Here is a 15,535-nt window from a genome sequence, read left to right as displayed (position 1 = left end):
TGACCAACACACTACACTCATTTATTACAATCGTGTAAAGCATTTGTTTCAGAAAAGAGGAAAAAGCCGATTGTTAAAAATATTTCAGTGACTTTTTCTTTGGCTAAAACTAGATTACTTGTATTACTTTAGTATGCTCTTCTGTTCAAGGAGCCAGCCAGGGATTTCTTTGTTCTGTTTAAGGTGCAAAAACAGTCACCTCTCTGTGCCATTCCCTCTCCTCCACTCTCTTGTTTGATTCCCTCATCTTCTACCATTAGTCTACTCTTCTGGACTCAATGTATGGAAATGAGCAATCTTTATTTAATTCAGTATTACTATTTATTGAGCAATGAAAAGGGTTGGAGCCTCTTTGATTCTTTCAAATAAAAAGGAAGGTGGCAGGAGCTTATAAAAAAGGTAGGGGGAACTCCAGTCTCTTGCCTTTGATAAGGTAGAGGGCCCCAATAGTGCTAAGTTGTGCTTCTGAAGGTCTTGACCACAGTGGCAGATGGGGTCCAGCAGGGACGACGAGGGTCCTGTTGTTCCCTTTCCCCACTTGACTCTTGGGTGGAAATTCTCTCTGCTCTGTAACACTTTGGCTCAGGGGAATCAATGGGGGTCATCTCAAAGGCGTCTACTACTATGATTCTCTGGCTTCTGTTACTCTATTCTTCTTCCTTCATCTGTAAGGAAAAAGATTAAAAAAAACGTTCATGGTGTGTCTGAAGTTGCAAAGTCAGAGTGAACCTGGAGTTAGGATCTTAGTCCCCAAGTTTCTACTTATTGTGGAATCCCAAAAGGGCCGTGTTCTGACACTAGCCTATGTGCCAAAGTCATCTGAAGGGACACAAGTATTTCCTAAATATACTTTGGCAAAAGGCTTTGAGGAGAAGTCTGTTTGTGGGGTGCCTGAGATACAGGTGAGCACTGATTTAGTGCGCATAGACTATAGGCACCTGCACTTCTTGGCCAGGAGGGTGCTGTTATAGCAGACAGTTTTTATGCTTTGGGTACATTAACTTAATACTTCTCTTTAAGCATTCCATTTTTATGTTCTCATTTCCTTGTTTGTGATATATACAGTCTCTCTCTCTTAGTTTTAGGTTGTTTCTCAAAATCCCAAACATTCTCTCCTGCTGTGTTTTACTCAAATGGCTTATTATGACTTTTAGGATTCTCTGTCCCACATGGGCTCATTCTTTGAAGATTTTTCGGCAATAGATATTTACTGAGGCTGCCTGTGCACAGTCATTTTCCTCCGTGCATGTCAGGGATAGAACCTGCAGTGGTGTGTGGAGAGTATCTGGATCAGTCTTCAGTATGATGCCTGAGTCTTCTATTGACAGCAGTGGACACTGGGCTCTACCCAGTATGAAAATTATTTCCTCTAGAGATTTTCTCTTTTGCTGTCTGCCAAGCCATGCTCATCTTTTCAATCAAACTGATTCTATGTATCTGATGTAGTCTTTGCTTTGTATCCTCACAACACCTCTCTGTTGGTAGTGCATTGTCTTACAAACCTTAGAACCAAATTAGTGCTTTTTGTTTGACTTTCTTATTTGTGGCTGTCAGATTTCAGGCTGCTTAAAAGGAGGGGCAATGTTTTCTGCTTGTTTTCTCTTCACAGTGGAGAGTGCAGCATCATAGACCTAGTAGCTGCTTGGTTACTGATGTCAGGGGATGAATTGATTACAGTTTTTCTGCTCAATCAGTGAGAAGGGGATATTTCGCTGGGAGTTGACAGGCACTCAGATAATCTCTAGTTCCTGAAAGGCTTGGTAGGCATGACTCCAAAGTCTGCTTGAAAAATAAATGGATTTATGCCGTTTTAATCCCAAGTAACTGTCTTTAAATTTCCTTCCTAATTCAATGCATTGTGTTAGATTTTAAGGCGCACACAGTACTTTGGCCTTCCTACTCTTCACAAGGACATCATCTTTTCACTTCCACAGTGACAGCCTGCAGCAGCTGCCCCCTCTGACACTGGATGATGCCTGTCAGCCAAGCCAGTTGGGGTAAAACAAGTTAAATTACTAGAAAGGAAGGAAGTAATGCCTAAGAAGGAAAAAATATTCTCATCTCCTGGGATGGATTCCAAGTTCCCAGTTTAGAGTGAATTAGTCCATTTAGAAGCATGTCTGTTCCACAGATAATGTGTATCTTCTTTTAAATGTCACATGTCTCCCTTCCAATGGAGACTTCATTTGGACTTCCAGCACTCTTCCCTGTTTGTAGTACTGCAGCAGAGAGCCCAGGAAGTGTGTCTCCCATCTGTCCCCACCATTTCATAATTTGTTTTTGCCCATTACACTGCCTAAAACAACCCCCTGAACAGTGGTGGAAAAGCCACCAAGATCTTTCTTAAAGGGCACATTGGTTTTAAACCCAGCACCCTTGATTTTATTTTGTTTTCCTTCCTCATTGGCAAACTTTCTTCGGTCCCAAGAGCTGTGGAAAACAGAGCCTCAACACAAACAAAGCCAGATCTTCAGTCCGAACCACCTTTCCTTTCCTTTCCTTTAGTTGACGATGCTAAGAAACACTTTCTCTGAGGCAGATAGAAACATCACACAGTTGGTGCACTGCCTCACAGTTTGGTTCAGGGACAAGATTAAGGAACCAGAGTCTTCATGTGGGATTGGTTTAAACTGGGTTATGAAACTAGGTCATCTTATCTTTAGAAACCTTGAATGAAAAGCCAGAAGGAGGCAGGGCTGTGTGTGTGCATGCGTGTTTGTGCGTGCGTGCTCGTCCGTGTGCATGTTCTCATTTCAGTCCTGTTTCCTGTGAGTCCTAGGAGACCTGGACCTTAATTTTGGGCGTCAGGCCCCCCTCTTCATCAGGTCTGAGTGTCATCACCCACAGCCCCACATCTTTCCCCACTCCCAGCCCCATTTCGAAAAACTGAAGTCAGATTAATCGATAAATGAGACTGTTTGTTGAGCAGCGCATAAGGAACTACTCACTATAAATCAGTGAAGATCCCAGTCCTGGTCAGCCACGTAAATGAAGGGACAAATCGACCTTAATTTCAGGGACTCTCACCATTCCTTTATTTTCTGAGAACGGGGGAGTTTTTAAATCAAATCACCCTGGCTGCCGAGGGAAATCATGGAATTCTGTAACTTCACAGACCTGTGAGAAGTGTCTCGGTCTAATCTTCTGCCCCGAGGCAAGTGATTATCTAAACAAACGCTGTCCAGTAGAAATAGATATGAGCTGTAATGATACATTTTCTAGTAGCCACACTTTAAAAAGTGAGAAGAAATAGGTAAGATTATTTTTAATTCCATATTTTGTTTAAGCAAATATATTCAAAATATTATTTCAACATGTAATCAACATAAAAATTATTAGGGAGATGTTTTACATTCTTTTCTCACACTAAATCTTCAAAATCTGCTGTGAATTGTTCAAAGAGAAGCACATCTCAGTTAGTGCTAACCACATTTTAAGTCCTCAGTAGCCATCTGCGTATTGTACAGCACAAATCTAAAACATCCAACATGGTGTGTTATCAATTCTTGTCCTGAAGATTTTCAAGGGGAGGCAATCCACTCTTTTTCCTTTTTGATTTTGTAAGGACATTTACATAGGATACATATTTATAATTCTCATTGTTTCAAAACATTTTTATAAGCAAGCGTCTTCATTTTGTGTGGAGTATTTGCTTCTTGTGTGAGCATACTCTTTATCTGTGTTATTCAGTCTCAAACACTCACCTCACCTTTGTCTTTTTGCCTGTAACCATTACTAGAATTTCGGTAGCACTTGAGCAAGAAAACATGCCTATATCTAGAAATCTGTATTTATGTCTATTTAGGTGAATCTCCACTCTTAGATGAATAGATCTATCGATGTAAATCTATCAATGTAAATATATATATAGCTATACAGACTTGTGAGTCTCAGCACTCACAAGTACAGAAGAAGTGCTATCTTTGTTTAGAAATAGGAGAGTTATTTTTCTGTCTGGCACAGATGGAGACTCTTTGAGTTGTATACTATTTGAGATGGTATTTCGAGATGCATGTGTAGAGAAGAGAGAAAGATGTTTCCAGGTAGGGACAGTAGAATGAACAAAAACGTGGCACCAAAAAGGGAAATGCGAGGTATGTTTCAAGAAGAGTGACAGGGAGCCCAGTGTGTTGGCATATGCCTGTAATGCAGCTACTCAGGAGGCTGAGGTGGGAGGATTGCTTGAATCCAGCAGTTTGAGGCTGCAGTGAGCTGTGGTGATGCCATTGCAGTCCAGCCTGGGCAACAGAGCAAGGCCCTGTCTCAAAAACAAACAAACAAACAAACAAACACAAACAAAAAGAGTGACAAGGATAAAAGAGTGACAAGGATAAAAGAGTGATTGATGCTGTTATTGGAGTCTAGTATGCCAGGTTGAATTTGGATTTTATTTTATAAATAGGGAAACATCTAAGCATTCTGAACAAGGGAGAGGCACAATCATGGCTCTCTTTTGGCGGAAACTAAATTTATACTAACGTTAAATAAATCGGAGAGGGTGTCAGAGTTCAGAGCAGAAGAAAACAAGACTCCGAAATTAGATGCACTGTCCAGCGTATAGTAAGTAATTGGGGGTATATTCAGATAATGAAAAGAAACCTAGACAAAAATAAAAGCAAAGGGAAGAGGCCTGCATTTGCTGGGGTAAATGAGGCTCTGCAGCAAATGAAAGACTCAAATGTATAATGGCTTAATACAAGAGAGTGTCTCACCTATGTCATAGACCAAGACTATTCCAGGTGGTTGGCTGGGTAGTCAGGCCCTTTCTCACATAGCTATTCAGTGACCCATGCTGAGGATCACTCTGACATCTCACCAAGAGGATTCCAAAAGCCTGACTTCCCAATTGACCAGTAAGACAAAAAATCATGGAGGAATGTATGTGGGAGGATTTAATGGAACAAGTCTGGAATTTCTGCTCTGTTTCACTGTTCAGAATTTGGCCACACCTAATTGCAAGAGAGACTGGGGAAATAAAGTCTAACTATGTGTCCAGGAAAAGGAGAAATAATTATTTTGAGGACTGGCTAGCAGTCTTGGCCACAAAGACCAAGGAGAGAAACGTAGTTAATGCTAACATCTGTGGATTGGGAGGAAGAAGGGAAACTAGAGAGTAATAGCAACAATAATAAATATAATGAACATCTATTAACTTCTTGTTTTATGCGGAACATTGGGCTTTATGCATTTTTATGTTTAAACATCATTGTAGTCCTGTAAGGGAGGTACAGTGATTTTTATGTGACTGATGAGTAAAATAGGGTCTAGGAAAGTGAGAAGGGCCCTGAGTCATACAACTATTGGGCAATAAGTCTGACTCCAAAGCTCACATTGATTAATATGGAGCTGGAGACGGGTTCCTGAGAATTGTAGGAAGAAAACAAAAATAGTTCATTTGTCTACTGCATTCTTGTGCTAATGCCACCCAGGCTAGACAACTTTATGCAGGATTCAAGAGTCCCCAAGACTACCCTGTCTTCTGACATCAGTTGCAAGTTCGGGACCCCCAAGACCACACTCAGCTTCAGTAACTCACTAGAAACACTCATAGAACTCCCTGAAAGCTGTTAATACTCACATTTGTGGTTTATTACAGTCCTTTCCACGTAGAATCATGGTTCACTAGCTAACTTCTCCCAGCAACCATGTGCTATAATATACATGGCATAGAGCCAAGCAGGGAAGCTCATTCGAACCTTGATGTCCAGAGTTTTAAGTGGGGGTTGGTCCTGTAGACAGCGTTGACTGCCCATTTGGTTGACAATAGCCTCTAGCCCCTCTGGGGGTCAAGCTGATACCTTATGGCCCAAGGCCGCCAGACAAACAAAAACACTTTTATCAGGCAGGACTTTCCATGGGCTTAGAGATTACTTTCTTGGAGCTGAAAGCTCATTGCTTTATCAGTAGGTTTTGACATTTTACCCACTGCTACATTTTGGACTTCACTTTCTAAAGTAGTTAGTGGGATTTTGCTGTGGTTTCCCTCATATTGGCTGCTGTTATTATGCATCTAGTTCCATCTTCTCTGGTAGATTTTTCTCCATTGATTAACACAGAATCTCAGTGCCTGGCACCAGTGTTATCGAATAAAGAATTGTTGAATAAATTAAAGAATAACAAAATGAAAAGGCATTATTCTGTATAAATGGTTATAACTTAGAGTTGGAGAAAAGTTCCCAGTAGTAGAATATTTTAGGTTGTGTGGATTGATGTCTTCAGGATACCTTGCGAAGAAGTGCCTTTCTACTTTTTTTAAAGTGTTGTCATCATCCATCACTATCTGAAAACTTTTAGGGTCTGAACCCATAGCTATGCTTCTCTTGCATCTGCTGTTGTCCCACAAGGTTGACTGTGAGGTGAAGCCTATTTTCCCATTGACTTCCTTGAAAAAATTGAACTTGCAACAGGGAAAAATTACCAGTAGAGAAGAAAAAGTTTTGGTGAACAGGTGTCCACCCTTTGATGTAGAGGGCAATGATCCTGGTCAGTGTTGCTCTCCCTTTAGGAATGGTTTTGAGGCACTGGGAGATGTGGATGGTGCACTCCTACCACCAGGGTCTCCCTGTGCGTTGTCCTGAAGCCCTTGACATCTATATCCCTAGTGACTTTCACATTCTCTTGTCCCTTCCTGCCTCACTTCTGTGGTCCAGGACTTGGACCCACCTTTCTTGGATCCTGAAGCACCTACATCACATGTCACAATACAAATTTTGGTTGTTCTTACCCCAGAATTATTTGAGTCACTAGGCCCTGAAAGGAAAATGTGTTCTATCTGAATCTGAAGAAATACGTTTATTTTAAAAGATGGGTGACACTTGGTATTTTTTCCCAGCAAATGTCATTTAGTGTATATTCCTTTTTTTTTTCTCTTTTCTTTTGAGTCAGAATATTGATCCATTGCCCAGACTGGAGTGCAATGGCACAATCTCAGCTCACTGCAACCTCTGCCTCCTGGGTTTCAAGCAATTCTCTTGCCTCAGGCTCCTGAGTAGCTGGGATTACAGGTGCCTGCCACCATGCCTGGCAAATTTTTGTATGTTTAGTAGAGATGGGGTTTCACCATGTTGTCCAGGCTGGTCTCAAGCTCCTGGCCTCAAGTGATTTGCCTGCCTCAGCCTCCTGAAGCGCTGGGATTACAGGCATGAGCCACTGCTCCTGGCCATTTGGTATATATTTCTGCTTTGCTGTACTAAGCTTTGAGATTCAAAGGGCTATCGTGTGGACACTGCTGGAGTAGGTTATAATAAAAGTGGCTCATGTATAAGATGGGTTTTCATTACATGATTATTCTATAGAATTTCTTATTGAAGTCATCTGCTCAGGCTGCTATAACAAAATGGCAGACTTGTTAGCTTAAACAACAGACTTCATTTCCCACAGTTCTGGTGGCTGGGAAGTCCAAGGTCAAGGTGCTGGCAGATTCCAGTCCTGGGTAGAATCCTCTTCCTCACTTGCAGACAGCTGCTTTCTTGCCGTGTGCTCACATGGCTTTTTCCTTGGTGTGTGCATGAGGGGAATCTCCCATGTGTCTCTTCTATAAGGACACTAATCCCATTATGAGGGCTCCACCCCCATGAACTCATTACTTCCCAAAGTCTCATCTCCACATTCTGTCACATTGAGGGTGAGGGATTCAACATTGGAATTTTTTTTTTTTTTTTTTTTTTTGAGATGGAGTCTCACTCTGTCGCCCAGGCTGGAGTGCAGTGGCATGATCTTGGCTCACTGCAGCCTCCACCTCCCAGGTTCAAGTGATTCTCCTGCCTCAGCCTCCTGAATAGCTGGGATTAACAGGCGCCCACCACCACACCCAGCTAATTTTTGTATTTTTTTAGTTGAGATGAGGTTTCACCATGTTGGCCAGGCTGGTCTCAAACTCCTGACTTCAAGTGTTCTGCCCACCTCGGCCTCCCAAAGTGCTGGGATTACAGGTGTGAGCCACCGTGTCTGGCCAACATATGATTTTTGAGGAGACACAGTTTAGTCCATAGTATCCCCCATAAAAAATAATTACATGCCCATGTACATCTGATGAATAAAATAAAAACAAGAGTAATTTTCCTGTAAGCCATGGAGACTTAGTCTTGTTTCTTTATGGTTAATCTAATACAATACTTTCCCTAACAGCTCAGAGCTCCTTTTAAGCAAATGAGCAAAATATACAATTAATATATAAATCTATAATTTCCAAGATAGAGTCCCATAAGAAGGAATATGGAATTCTATTCATCGTACGATTAAAAAAAAAAAAAAACAGTTTGCTTCCCCCTTTCCCCAATACCGCACTACACATTTCTGGAAAATAGGGTTGTTGCTCATCAGGTCATACATTCTAGCAGCTCTGTTCCCCATCCAAAGTATATGAATATTTTTAGAAGCAATAACATTTAGTTTGAAAAATTGAGAAGTAATTGGGTGAAGACCTTACTGAATTAGTAAGATGTGAATTAGCAGAAACGTATTATGCTTTGAGTACACAGGGACTTAGTTTTAAGAAGCCTCTGCCCTTAGAAATATAATTTACCTATTACTGGTATAACTGTGTTTTCAAACTGTCTTTACTTAAAATACTTTAATGCTACCATCCTCCTTTTTAGCTAATTTGTTAAGCTTATTCACTAAGCAAAGTCAAATTTTAATATAATTTTAGTCTCAGTTGTCATGACATTTGCAGTGGTGGGCCTGGTGAATAAGGTTTGACATCGAACTATTTAGAGGTGTTTTTTCCTCATTTGTTGAATATGTTTCAAAAATGTCCACCTCCATGGATAAAGCAGCTATAAACCTAATGTTTATTTTAGTTATAGCTCAAAGTTTTTCCAAACACCTTTCTCCCTTTTTAGAATTTCGGGAGAATCAACTCTAGCAGTACTTTTAGTGGTCAAATGAGAAATGTTTAGACTCCTTGGTTTCACTAACTTTCTTGTATCCCAAATCTAAATTTGAAATAGTTTTCCTTATCCCTGGAAAAAAAAAATTGATGTCAGGTGGGTCTTTTCCTTGCAGGAGAATGCCGTGAATGGAGAACACCTGTGGCTGGAGACCAACGTCTCGGGAGACCTCTGCTACCTTGGAGAGGAGAACTGCCAAGTCAGATTTGCAGTGAGTGTGCGCTCCGTCTTGCTGGGGGAAGGCCTGTGGATCTGAATGAATAGAGGGGTCACCTTGCCTAAATTTCCAAGGGGAGGTTTGAACGAGCCTGTCCTTGTGAGATGGAAAACTTTCCGGATGTTTTCAAGGTTTGCAGAGAGTTTCTCAAGTTAACATGGCTTTCAGGTTGTCGCTCGTAATGGTTTTAGGGTTCACTTATGCAGGCCAGGCCTTGGTGTCATGTGTTACTTTATAATGATGCCCAGGGTAGGTTGTTGTGTGTTGGTGGGGGGCAGAGGGTAAATGTGTACGAGGTAGTGTCTCCTTATGGAGGAGTTGTTGGTGTGGGGCCAAGGCCTGTGTGTGGAGGAAGGGGCTCTGTCTGTAGGGAAGTGGCCACAGTGGGGGCTTTACTGGTGGGTGAAGGTGGAAAGAGAGGGAAACACCTGTGCTGGGAATGGGTGTAGGCTAACAAATAATCCAGACTAAGTTCTGGAGGATACGATTCTAGAAATAATATAAACAATCAACAGTCAGGTCAATTGGAGTTAACTTTTGTTGTTTAAAATTTGCTTTGTGTCCCTATTTAGAACAATCTATTTAGAGGGTTAAAATTCTCTTTATGTTGTGAGGTAAGTGTGGTTGCCAAGTAGTGCATTGTGGAGATATCAAAACCACAGTGTTGAGAAATTGAACTTAAAGTTTGTGTGTAGTTTTAAATGATTGGTCCAAACAGACAGTAATGGGAAGCTTAGGATAGTAAAGAAGAGATAAAAGATGTATTCCTTCTTATTTGGGGAAATTAGCACCAGAATTTATAGAATGCTTTTTTCTTTTTTAAAAAAATATTTGTTTATTATGTGAAAGAAATATTTGCAGCAAGATGTAGGGCCTTGAAATTGCAGATGAATATGTGTTTGTTAATAACCAATATGGAATAAATCGAGTTTCCATCAAAGCTTATAGAAGGATATGTATAGCCCCCAACGATTTTAACCAGGCTGCCTAAAAGCACAAAGTCCCAGAACCAAGACCTTTTTTGTTGCTTTAGCTGTTTTAACTCCTTGTTTATAAATTTCATTTGGAGAGTTTTGAGAGTTCTGGGGAGAACAGGGCCTGTTTAAGTGAAGTTGGGAATCAATGTCAGGGAAAGACCCAGATGAACAGGCTCTGGATTGGAAGTCGGGAAACCTGGAGCTGAATCTCAGTGTTACTGCTCAGTGTGTGACATTGAGAACTCGTGACCTTTGGGCCTTGGCTACCTTCTAAAACAGAGAGTAGGATTAAATTCTTTTTTATTAATTTATTTTTGTTTCTAGACCTGTAATTAATCATTTGCTTCTCTTCTAATTTTGTTGTAAATTTAATTGACTTAAATATCAGGATTTCAACTTTATGCATATGTATTTTTAATTAAAGTATAATTGCATGGAATTGGATTGAATTAACGAAATCCATGAGAAGCTCAGCTGTTTGGACTAAAATGCTGTAAATAATGAATTAACATTAGTGTCTTGGTTAATTGCGTAAACACTGGTCCTGGGATGTAAGATAATAAAAAATGGAAAAAATGAAAGCCAGTATTACTTACATATATACTTTTGAACAATTTCTACTGATGGACTATGATTTTATACAGAGTCATCCCTTATTTCCAAATTGCTCCCTTTAATCCCTTTCTGTTACTTTTTAGGGGATGGCTACCTCTCTTGACAAATATATGAACAGATACGTATATCCTCTTTAAACCTTGTATCAGTAAATAGCATTGCTATCCACTGAATGATTATTACTTGTTCACTAATACCTTTAGGCCAGGAAAAGCAACAAGGAGAATAAAGGAAATTTTAGGTAGAAGTAGGAAGAAACAGAGTTGAGAACGTTCCCAGTTTCCTTCTGAAGCTTCCTCATAATTTCATACCAGGTACTTGGCCCTATTAACTCATATTACAAAACGTCTGAAAGATGAAGAACTCTCCTCCAAAAAAATGTTGGTTAAATGAAGGAATAAATCAGTGAGGAAGCTGAAGACCTAACTGCTGTAAGTTTCTTGAAGCTCAGTTTCTTTACCTATAAAGTGGGGGAAACACTGTTTTGAGGGTTTGGTGAGATGATACATAGAAAGGGCTTACTTGGCTCAGCAACTGACCTAATGAATTAAAGGCAAAAAAAGAAAAAAAAGAAAAAACCCAGGAAGGACAAGGACAGGAAATTTACAAAAGAACTACCAATTGCCAATAGATATCTGAAGAATACAAAGGCATCCCAATTAAAACAACTCAGGAGTCAACTTCATGTGCCTATTAAATTAGCAAAGATTTATAAAATGGTAATAGTTGCTGCTGGTTGGTTTAGGCTGAAATGGGCAGGCTCATCATCAGCTGCCAGGAGTGTAAGTAGATACACTGTCCTTCACAAAATTGGCAGTGTGTACTGAAAGCACTGAAAATCCTCTCAGTCTCTCTCCCCACCTCGCACTGTGAGGCGCATGTCATCTCTGGGCATCCCATTTTGAGAGAGACATTGGCAAGCAGCAGAGGACCCAGAGTGGGGTGCCCAAGTTGGTTTAGGGGATGGAAGCTTGTTGTAAAGAAATGTTAGGTTACATGGGCTACAGCTGAGTATTAGGAGCGAAGGCAGAGAGATGTCTTCCAGTATTTGAAGAGTTAATTTGAAGAAAAGAGAAGTGACTTGCTATCTGTTGTTAGAAATGGAAAAGTCATAGAGGTAGAATCCACTGACTCTAACTTTATAACAATAAACAAACATTACCTGGGAAACCTAACAATGCACACTCCTGTTTCCCTCTTTGCTCCAAATGCTGATTCAGTATGCTTGGAGTTGGACTTGAGAGTCTCCGATTTTTTTTTTTTTTTTTTTTTTTTGGATGTAGTCTTGCTCGGCTGCCCAGGCTGGAGTGCAGTGGTGTGATCTCGGCTCACTGCAACCTCCGCCTCCCGGGTTCAAGAAATTCTCCTGCCTCAGCCTCCTGAGTAGCTGGGGTTACAGGTGCAAGTCACCACACCCAGCTGATTTTTGTATTTTTAGTAGAGACGGGGTTTCACCAGGTTGACCAGGCTGGTCTCAAACTCCTGACCTCAGGGGATCCACCCGCCTCGGCCTCCCAAATTGCTGGGATTACAGGCATGAGCTACCACACCTGGCTGGGAGTCTGTGATTTTAACGAGCACCTCAAATAATTCTGATGCAGATGGGTCGCAAACCTAACTTTGAGAAATACCGTATGATAAGAAAGAACTTTGTCAGCCTGAGCTTCCCAGCAAGCGAACAAGGTGCCTGGAGAGATTGACTGGTGGGATGTGTGTTTGTGGATAACGTGGGTGGCCATGTTTCAAGGATGCTGTAGTTGGGGACTCTCAGCTGCTTTGGGCAAGAGGTCACAGAGATCTCCAGGCGAGTCTTTAGTTTAAATGCTCTGTTTGCAGTTTTCTTAGAACAACAGTCTTTTTTGGGAAAAAAGTATGCATAAGCAGATCATGTATTTATATTCTAATTTCTTTTAATGAACCACCTTTGAAGAAAGCCTACCTGTTGGGGCTGGGACTAAATTACCATAACCAGGTACTACCTGCAGGCTCCTAAACAAAGTACAGGCAGAGTGCTCAGGGGAGGAGTGAATCCATCATCTACGATGTGCCTTTCACTCCTTCCCTATTTTAGCAAAGCAAATGTCACAAGTAGAAGTTAAGAGAAGGAAGAAGTCAGTGTGGGTTGAAGCAGACAGAGGCAGCTTCATGGAAATGGGGTTCGAGCTCAGTTTTGAAAGATGGGTAAGATTTACATAAGTGATTTTGAAGAAGGAGAACATTTCGGGCAGGGAAGAGGAACATGAGCAGACTCAGAGGTGGGGCAAGCTCTGTACAAACGAGGTGGCAATCATGAGCCGTGCATGAGCATGTGTCAGAGAAAAATGGAAGTAAGAATGGAGTTAGGTTTTTTGAAACAAAACTTGGAGTGCATATTGTAAATACTGGTGGGCTTAGGAAGCATGACTATAGAATACATTGTCTAAACCAAGACACTTTTGAGGGTGAAAGTGGCTGCTGTTAATAATGATGCCGTAACATTAGGGATAAACCAGAACTGCATCACCCTAGCTTATGGGACATTAGGGCATCTATGTAAAACTAAAACTGTCCTGCAAAGCCGGGACCTCCTGCTGCCATGTGGATTGATATTTGGGGACTGATATTGGAGGGTACTGAAAGCCAGGCAATGACTTCCAAAACCCTAGAACAGCTGTAGGAGAGTTTGTTCCCAAGCTTCAGGGCTAAAACTAAACCACGTGACCTTTTCCTGTTCTACAGCTCTCTGGTGGCAACATTTAATACTGTAGAATACCTGTGAGCAGATACGTAATGGAATTAAATTTGTTCCCAAATTGGCAACAGTTCCCAAATTAGCAACTGTTTCTTTTTCTGGTCTAGATAAAATATAAAAGGATGCAAAAGTAATGAAATTGAAGTAGAAAGATCACTGTTTCCCAACCTGATTATGGGCACTGGAAACCTGAAATAAAATTCCAGCCAGAATCACTGTCGTTTGGTGACATTTATTTTTATGTACATTTATTCATTTATTCATTCATTTATTCTGTCAGTGTTTGTGAGCTGGGTTGAGTACCCAGTGCCTCACCGTTTAGCGGGCACAGCCAGATAGAAACTGTTCTCATGCTCTGGGGCTAGGCTATACAAACATGTTTAGCCAAATATTTGTACCTAAAGGAGCTCACCCCTCCAGTAGTAATCCCTGGAGTCCATACCATCGTGCACCTACTCAGACTTGAAAGAAACTTGCCTACATTGATATGCAAATTATACACCCACCGTGGTCACACAGACCTGAATAGGCACAGATGGGTAGCATGGGTGGTCAGAAGGAAATAGACTTTGTGTGGACTGACCTGGGTTTGAAAACCTGCTGTTCCATTTATGTACTGAGTAAAGTTGGGACATATCACTTTGCCTTTTTTTGCCTCAGTTTCCTGATTTAAAGTATTGCTACTGAGATAGACCACAGCGATTCTTATTTCTGGATGAGCATTATAGTCAATTATGCCATTTTACCTTTTAATCTTACCTTTGAAGTGTTGGTTCCCATTCTGGATGTACCACATCAGGATCTCTAGGGAGTGGGACTCAGCCTGATGTCAAAAACAAACAACCAGATCTACAGATGATTCTCTTCACTGTCAGGGTAGAGAGACAGTGATCCACTTCAGAAACAGAGTGTCAGGACCAAAAACCGTGGCCTGGTTCTCACACCTGGTGTGTAGTGGCTGTGATGGGCTAAATAGTGTACTCCAAAAGATATGTCGAAGTCCTGACGCCTCAGGACTTCAGTACCTCAGAATGTAACTTGATTTGGACATAGGGTTGTTGCAGATGTAATTAATTAGGATGAGTTCATCTGGAGTAGAGTGGGCCCTAATCCAGCATGACATGTGCCGTTATAAGAGAAGACACACGCTGGGCGCGGTGGCTCATGCCTGTAATCCCAGCACTTTGGGAGGCCGAGGCAGGTGGATCACCTGAGGTCGGGAGTTCAAGACCAGCCTGACTAACATGGAGAAACCCCATCTCTACTAAAAATAGAAAATTAGCCGGGGTAGTGATGCATGCCTGCAATCCCGGCGGCATTACAGGAGGCTGAGGCAGGAGAATCGCTTGAACCCAGGAGGCGGAGGTTGCGGTAAGCCGAGATCGTGCCATTGCACTCCAGCCTGGGCAAAAAGAGCGAAACTCCCTCTCAAAAAAAAAAAAAAAAAAAAAAAAAAAAAAAGACACACAGAGACACACACACAGAGAAGAAGGCCATGTGGTGATGGGGGCAGGAATTAGAGTGAGGCAGCTGCAAGCCAAGGCCCTCCGAGGATCGTGGCTCTCCTCAGAAGCTAAGAGACAGGCATGAAATTCATTCTCCCTCCAAGCCTTCAAAAGGGTGTTCAACCTTGTTGAAACCTTGATTTCAGACTTCTAGCCTCTAGGAGTGTGAGAGAATACATTTCTGTTGTTTTAAGCTACCCAGTTTGGGTTCCCCACAGAACACCCATTGCCATTGAGTGGGATCTTAGTATTCAGTGGAAAAGTGTTTGAGAAATGCTCACACAATGTTTGCAGTTTTCCTAGGACTCATACTCATCATCTCTGATCCATAACAACAACCTTTTGGGGTGGTCATATCGGGCTGTTCACTTCTACCTAAAGATAAAGAAGAGTCAGAGAGGCTTACTCACTATCCAGAGCTTTATGGCTTCTTTGCTTTCTTAGGGCAGTGCTAGGAACCTAATATAGTAGCCATTCTATAAGTCGAGTTACCTTATCTAGCCATGCAGATACCGCAGTTACATAGGCTCACTGACACGTATGCACACAGGTGCGTCTACAGCAGGCTTGAGTGTTTAGGTTGAGTGGTATGTGGTTGA

At 41.5% G+C, this 15,535-nt stretch overlaps 1 protein-coding gene across 9 annotated transcripts in view; it reads left to right on the top strand.

Annotated features, from left to right (window-relative positions):
* DGKI (diacylglycerol kinase iota) overlaps nt 1–15,535 on the top strand; it is a 465,938-nt gene that overhangs the window by 159,316 nt on the left and 291,087 nt on the right. For all 9 annotated transcript variants that reach the window (XM_047421022.1, NM_001321708.2, XM_047421021.1 and 6 more), the window contains one exon: nt 9,007–9,102. In XM_047421022.1, coding sequence (XP_047276978.1) covers nt 9,007–9,102 — 96 coding nt within the window. The remainder of the gene's footprint in view (nt 1–9,006; nt 9,103–15,535) is intronic.

This window comes from Homo sapiens, chromosome 7 (assembly GCF_000001405.40).
Source record: "Homo sapiens chromosome 7, GRCh38.p14 Primary Assembly".
Taxonomy (NCBI): domain Eukaryota; kingdom Metazoa; phylum Chordata; class Mammalia; order Primates; family Hominidae; genus Homo; species Homo sapiens.
The sequence above is the reverse complement of the archived record's forward strand: the minus strand, read 5'-3'. Positions and strand labels throughout refer to the sequence as shown.